Raw genomic sequence first — 7,597 nt, forward strand, 5'->3', positions numbered from 1 at the left:
GGAAAAGACAACTTGCTTAAGATATTATGTAGTGCTGGGCCTAGAATAGAAATATTCTAAATCTTGCCATTTAGAAGAGGCCATGGCCATTCAAGCGAAAGTGCCAGGTCATATAGGGCAAATATAATTTTGCTTTTACAAGTCTTTAAGGGATTACTTTATACATCCTTATATTTCCTAGCAAACTTTATAGGTTTTCACAATGTTCAATAATTTATTCAGCCCACACATACTTATAGAGCTCCTTTTCAATAGCAGATCTTTTTTTAGGTACTTGGATTCCATTAGTGAATAAAACATTCACAGACCCTTGTCCTCCTGTTTTTTTTATATGTTCTCCTAGGAGAAGGCAGACAATCAACAACACACATAGAAGTACATGAATTGGTTTAATGGAAGGTGATATGTACTTTTAAGAAGGAAAAGTTGAGCAGAGGTGTTGAGAATACTGGGTACTTTTAGCATTAAGCAGAATGGTGGGGTTTGGCCCTACTGAGATAGTGATCACTGAGGAAAGGATGGTGGGAGTGAATATCAGAGGGAATAGAGAGAATGGTTCCAAGGGAAAGTTGCAGGATAGGAAGGAGGTTGGGGAGGAGCAAATCATAAAAGCCCTTGTAGACCATTTAAGGACTCTGATTTTATTCTCAATGAAATGGGGAGCCTTTGGAGGGTTTTGAGTAGAGAAGAGAAATGCGATTGATGTTGTCAAAAGATTAGCTTGGCTGTGATGTGGGAATAGAGTCCACAGAAATGAGAGAAGATAAGTGCTCCATCTATGGGGGCATCAGGGCAGGGGTAAGAACTAGGAACATTCTGAAGATATTTTGTTGTTTGTTTAAAGGTACATTTTAAAATTTGTTTAAAAACATTTACGCACAGTAGAATTCACTTTCTTTTGAGTGTGTAGAGTTCTGGGTGTTTTGACAAACTTATCAAGTCAGGTAACCACCACCTAATCAGAATACAAGATGATTCCCTCTTCTCCCCCAAACTTCCCCTATACTATACCTTTGGAGTCCTTCAACCATCTTCAACCACCCCTCACCCCTGGCAACTACTGATTTATTCTCCATTCCAAAATTTGTTGTTGTTGGTTTTTTTCCTCAGAATGTCACATAAATATAAGTATGCATTATGAAATCATTTGTATGGTGTCTTTTTCTTAGCACAATGCACTTGAAGTTTATCCAGGTTGTTGTATGCCATGGTTTGAATGTATGCGTCACTCTAAAATTTTTATGTTGGAATGTAAACCTCGAGGTGATAGTATTAAGAGGTGGGCTTTTTTTATTTTTAAAGGAAGTGATTAAATCATGAGGGCTTTGTCCTCATAATAGATCTGTGCTCTCATAAAAGAGTTTGAATGGAGTGTTCTAGTGCCTTTTGCCCTTCCATCCCTTCTGCCATGTGAGAACACAATATTCTTTCCTTTTTGCCCTCTTCTGCCATGTGAGGACATAGCAAGAAGGCACAATGTTGGAAGCAGTGAGCAGTACCCACCAGACATCAAATCTGCTAATGCCTTGATCTTGGAATTCCCACCTTCCAGAACAGTGAGAAATAAATTTTTATTGTTTGGAAATTACCTAGTTTAAGGTATTTTGCTATAGCAGCAGAAGCAGACTAAGACATTGTGTCTAACAATAATTCACATTTTTTAATTGCAGAATTGTATTTTGTTGTATGAATGCACCTCAGTTTATCCATTTACTTACTGAAGAACATTTGGTATATTTCCAGTTTTCTGACAATTAAGAATTTGCTGTTATAAAACCAAGGTGGAAGTTTTTGTGTGAATATACACTTTCATTTCTCTAAAGTAAATATGTAGGAGTGGAATTTCTGGGTCATATGATAAGTTTATGGTTTAACTTTATAGGAAACTGCCAAATTATTTTCCATAGTGACTACCATTTTGAATTCTTACCAGCAACTTAGGAGAGTTCTATTGCTCTACATTCCCATCAATATTGGATAGTATCAATTTTATTTTAATTTAATCATTCTAATGAGTATGTAGTGGTATGCCAACGTAGTTTCAATTTGCATTTAACTAATGATTACTGATGTTTAATGTCTTTTCTGTGCTTCTTTTCCATCTACACATCTTCCGTAATGATTTATCTGTTCAAAGTTTTATCCATTTTTCCTTTTTTTAGAAATTGAAACATTGTTGAGTTTTGAGGTTTTACACTCATTCACACACACATTCTAAATATAATACCAAATTTTTCAGATATATAATCAATAGATATTTTATTTACAGTTTGTAAGTTATGTTTCTATTCTCTTAACAGGCCTTTCATGGTAACAAAGTTTTTCATTTTGTTGAAGTCTAATTTGTCAATTTTTTTCTTTGATGAAGCATGATTTTGGTGTCATTTTCAAGAACTCTTTTCTTAGCCTAATTTTCTTATTTTTCTAAAGGTTTTATAATTTTACATTTAAGTTTATAATCCATTTTGTATTAATTTTTGTATAAAGAATAAGATATTGGTTGATGTTATCTTCTTCATGTAAATGTTTCATTGTTCCAAAACAGTTTGTTAGAAAGAATATCCTTTCTCCATTAAATTGTCTTTGCAACTTTGTCAACAATCACTTGACCATATTTGTGTATGTCTATTTCTGGACTTTCTATTCTGCTATACTCTTCTGTGTGTTTATCCATTTGTCACTACTATGACAGTCTTCATTACTGTAACTTTATAGTGAGCCTTAAAATCAGTTAGTGTGAGCCCTCCAATTTTGTTCTTCATTATCAAAGTTCTTTCGGCTATTCTAGTTCTTTCAACAAAAAAATTTTAGAGATAGCTGATTGATATTGTATTAGTCTGCTCAGGCAGCCACAGCCAAATCCCAAAGACTAGGTGGCTTAAACAACAGAAATTTATTTCTCATAGTTCTGAGGGAGTCTAAGATCAAAGTGCCGTCTGATTTGGTTTTTGGTGAGGGCTCCCTTCCTGGCTTACAGAAAGCTGCTTCTCACTGTGACCTCACACGGCAGAGAGAGAGAGAAAGAGTTAGCTCTGTGGTGTCTCTTCTAATAAGAACAACAATTCTACTGGATCAGGGCCTCATCCTTACGATCTCGTTTAACATTAGGTATCCTCATAAAGGCCGTGACTCCAAATACAGTCACATTGCTAGTTGGGCCTTTAACACATGCATTTTGGAGGTATTTAACACATGAATTTTGAAGAAACACAAATATTCAGTTCTTAACAGATCTCTATGGGAAAGCCTGCTGGTATGATTTAGGTTTGCACTGAATTTATATATTAATTTGGGAATTGTGGTTTTGAATGATTCATTCTCATAAGAAAGATATTATTTCTTTAGCATTTGGAATATTACATTGTCTTATGAGATGAAATGCACTTTGAATGTTTAATTCTATCAACTTCTAATTATTAGAAACACATATACATGTGCAATAGCTAAGGATATATCTGGTAGTGAGGAAAAAAGCCCTCTTATCTGTGAAGTAATTTCCATAAAATATTGTAAATCCAGATGGAAAAACTATGTAGGTATGATATTGATATATACAGAAAAGATAGTGAAAATATTTATATATTTATGTAATTGTTACCACTTCTTATTTATGCAGAATAATTAAAATAGATGTATTGAAAGTTCACTGATGAACACTTGATGCCATTTGTTTCCTCTTTCTTTGTTAGCTTTAATTTACTATTTTACAGATGTTTCATATAATGAAAAATGGCTTTTGTTGATTTTTAAAATCCTCTTTAAAAAGATTATTTGAAATAAAATGATGCATTCTATTTATATCAGATACAAAATCAACTCAAAGTGGATTAAAGACTTAAATTTCAGTCTTGAAACTGTAAAACTTCTAAAAGAAAGTGAGAAAATCTTCATGACATTGGTCTTGGCAATGATTTCATGGCTATGACACCAAAAGCATCAACAACAGAAACAAAAATAAACCAGTGAGATAATATCAAACTAAAAAGCTTCTGTACAATCAAGGAACCAACAGAATGAAAAGGCAACCTGTGTAATAGGAGAAATATTTACACATCATATATCTGATAAGTGGTTAATCTCCTCATTATGTAAGGAACTGCTATAATTCAATAGCAAAAAATGAATAACTCAGTTAAAAAATGGGGAGATTATTTGAATAGACATTTCTCTAAAGAAGACATGCAAACGGCCAAGAGGTATATGAAAAAATGTTCAATGTTACTTGTCATCAGGGAAATTAAAGTCAAAATCACTATGAAATATCCTCTCACACCTGTCAGGACAGCTCTTAAAAATAAAAAAATAAATAAATAAAAGACAACAAGTGTTGGCAAGAATGTGGAGAAACTGGGACGCTTGCACGCTGTTGGTGGGAATATAAAATGGTGCAACTATTATGGAAAATAGTGCAGAGGTTTTTCAAAAATATGAAGATAAAACTACCACATGATGTAGCAATTCCTCTTCTGAATATTTATCCAAAAGAATTAAAATCAGGATACTGAGGAGATGTTAGGACTTCGATACTCCTTACAGCACTATCTGCAATAGGAGAGATATGGAGATAGCCTAAATGTCCATTGACAGATGAGTGGATAAAGAAAATGTGTAATACACATGCAATGGAATACAATTCAGCCTTTAAAAGATGGAGATTCTCACGCCTGTAATCCCAGCACTTTCGGAGGCTGAGGTGGGTGGATCACCTGAGGTGAGGAGTTCAAGACCAGCCTGACCAACATGGTGAAATCCCTGTCTCTACTAAAAATACAAAAAAAAACAAATTAGTCAGGCATGGTGGCGGGCGCCTGTAATCACAGCTGCTTGGGAGGCTGAGGCAGGAGAATAGCTTGAACCTGGGTGGCAGAAGTTGCAGTGAGCCAAGATCACGCCATTGTGCTCCAGCCTGGGAGACAAGAGCGAAACTCCATTTCCAAAAAAAAAAAAAAAAAAAAAAGATGGAGATTCTGAAATATGGAAATATGCAATAACATGGATGAAACTTGAAGACATTATGCTAAGTAAAATAAGCCAGTCATGGAAAGAAAAATACTGCAAGATTCCACTTACGTAGGATATCTAAGATAGTTGTATTCATATAATCAGAGTAGAATGGTGGCTGCTAGAAACTGGGTGGAGGGAGAAAAAAAGGAACTCCTAATCAACAGGCAGTAAGTTTCAGGTAAGCAAGATGAATAATGTCCAAAGAGCTGCTGTACAACAATGTACCTGTAATCAACAATAATGTACGTTTACAAATCTGTTACAAGGTGAATGTCATGTTAAGTGTTCTTACCACAGTAAAATAGCATCAAAAGAAAAATAAAATACATGAGGGGAATTATGGAAGAGTAAATGATGTAGGAAAAGCATAAAAGCAGGAGCCAAGAGATTAGAAGCTGGGAGAATTTTCCTCTCCATATATGGTGTGCTGAATAACACTATGCAAGTGCACCTCCCACACAGACACGCCCATAACACTTGTGGGACTTTACTATAAAGTTACAGTAATCAAGACTCTTACGTACTAACAAATAGATAAACACACAGATGAGTACAGCAGAATAGAAAGTGCAGAAATAGACATACACAAATATGGTCAACTGACTGTTGGCAAAGTTACAAAGACAATTTAATGGAGAAAGGATATTCTTTCTAACAAACTGTTCTGGAACAAAGAAACATTCATATGAAAAAAAAACCTCAGCTAATATCTTATTCCTTATACAAAAATTAACACAAAATGGATTATAAACTTAAATGTAAAATGCAAAATAATAAAACCTTTAGAAAAATAGAAAATTAGCTAAGGAAAGAGTTCTTGAATATGACACCAAAATCATGCTTCATCACAGAAAAACAAACATCAAAACTGTAACAATGGAAACACACAGACCTTCTGTCCCAGTGGCAAGCTACTTAGGGAGCTGTTAAATAAAGCACGTTCGTCGTTGTTGTTGTTTGCTTGTTTTTTTGTTTTTTGTTTGTTTTGTTTTTGAGATGGAATCTCACTCTGTCACCAGGCTGGAGTGCAGTGGTGTGATCTCGGCTCCCTCCAACCTCCGCCTCCCGGGTTCAAGCCATTCTCCTGCCTCAGCCTCCGGAGTATCTGGGATTACAGATGTGCGCCACCACGCCTAGCTAGTTTTTGTATTTTTAGTAGAGACGGGGTTTCACCATGTTGGCCAGGCTGGTCTCGATCTCTTGACCTCGCGATCTGCCAGGCTCGGCCTACCAAAGTGCTGCTGTTACAGGCGTGAGCCACAGTGCCTGGCCAATAAAGCTCGTTTTATGTCCTTATTTGATTAACATACTTTCATAAGGTCAGAGAGGCCCGATTCTTGTCTTCCTAGAAGGTTCATAAGCAACCTTGGCAGGCGAAGGGAGAGCTGGCGCTGTCGCGTAGACTCTGGCCCCTTCCTCAGCCCACTCTCCTTGCTGGAGAGCCCATCGTTTTCAAAATCCTGTAGTGCTGCCTTGTGTGTACTGTGCGGGCTGATTTGCCAGAGGGCTTTACTCAGTGCCTTTCCACCTTCGCATTTGCTTCTTCCCTTGGTGCTGTGCTTCTCACTGGATGTCTCTGTGCTCTTACAGCTATCCTAGTGCCATTCCGCTACTACTTTATACTCTACACGTTGCTATTTCGGTGGTGCAAGACAGGGAAGGAGGACATTCTCTTAATTCTGATTAAGTCTCAGTCTCAGGCAAGTACTATACTCCTGGGTAAGGCTTTCTCATTGCTCCCTCCCCTAGCTGTAGTCCTGATCCCATCACGGAATTCCTGCTCTCTCTCCAGGGGAAAACAGTTGTTCTGCTTACTTTCCCAGCTGGGATGGGATTTACCCAGTGCCCTGAAGATGACAGTGGTGCCCTCCCCCAGCCCTGATATTAAGGCTTTGTTTCTTTCTTTCTTTTTTTTTTATACTTTAAGTTTTAGGGTACATGTGCACAACGTGCAGGTTTGTTACATATGTATACATGTGCCATGTTGGTGTGCTGCACCCATTAACTCGTCATTTACATTAGGTATATCTCCTAATGCTATCCCTCCTCCCTCCCCCCACTCCACAACAGGCCCTGGCGTGTGATGTTCCCCTTCCTGTGTACATGTGTTCTCATTGTTCAATTCCCACCTATGAGTGAGAACATGCGGTGTTTGGTTTTTTGTCCTTGTGATAGTTTGCTGAGAATGATGGTTTCCAGCTTCATCCATGTCCCTACAAAGGACATGAACTCATCATTTTTTATGGCTGCATAGTATTCCATGGTGTATATGTGCCACATTTTCTTAATCCAGTCTATCATTATTGGACATTTGGGTTGGTTCCAAGTCTTTGCTATTGTGAATAGTGCCGCAATAAACATACGTGTGCATGTGTCTTTATAGCAGCATGATTTATAATCCTTTGGGTATATACCCAGTAATGGGATGGCTGGGTCAATTGGTATTTCTAGTTCTAGATCCCTAAAGAATTTCCACACTGACTTCCACAACGGTTGAACTAGTTTACAGTCCCACCAACAGTGTAAAAGTGTTCCTATTTCTCCACATCCTCTCTGGCACCTGTTGTTTCCTGACTTTTTAATGATCACCATT

Source organism: Homo sapiens, chromosome 2 (genome assembly GCF_000001405.40).
Source record: "Homo sapiens chromosome 2, GRCh38.p14 Primary Assembly".
Taxonomy (NCBI): domain Eukaryota; kingdom Metazoa; phylum Chordata; class Mammalia; order Primates; family Hominidae; genus Homo; species Homo sapiens.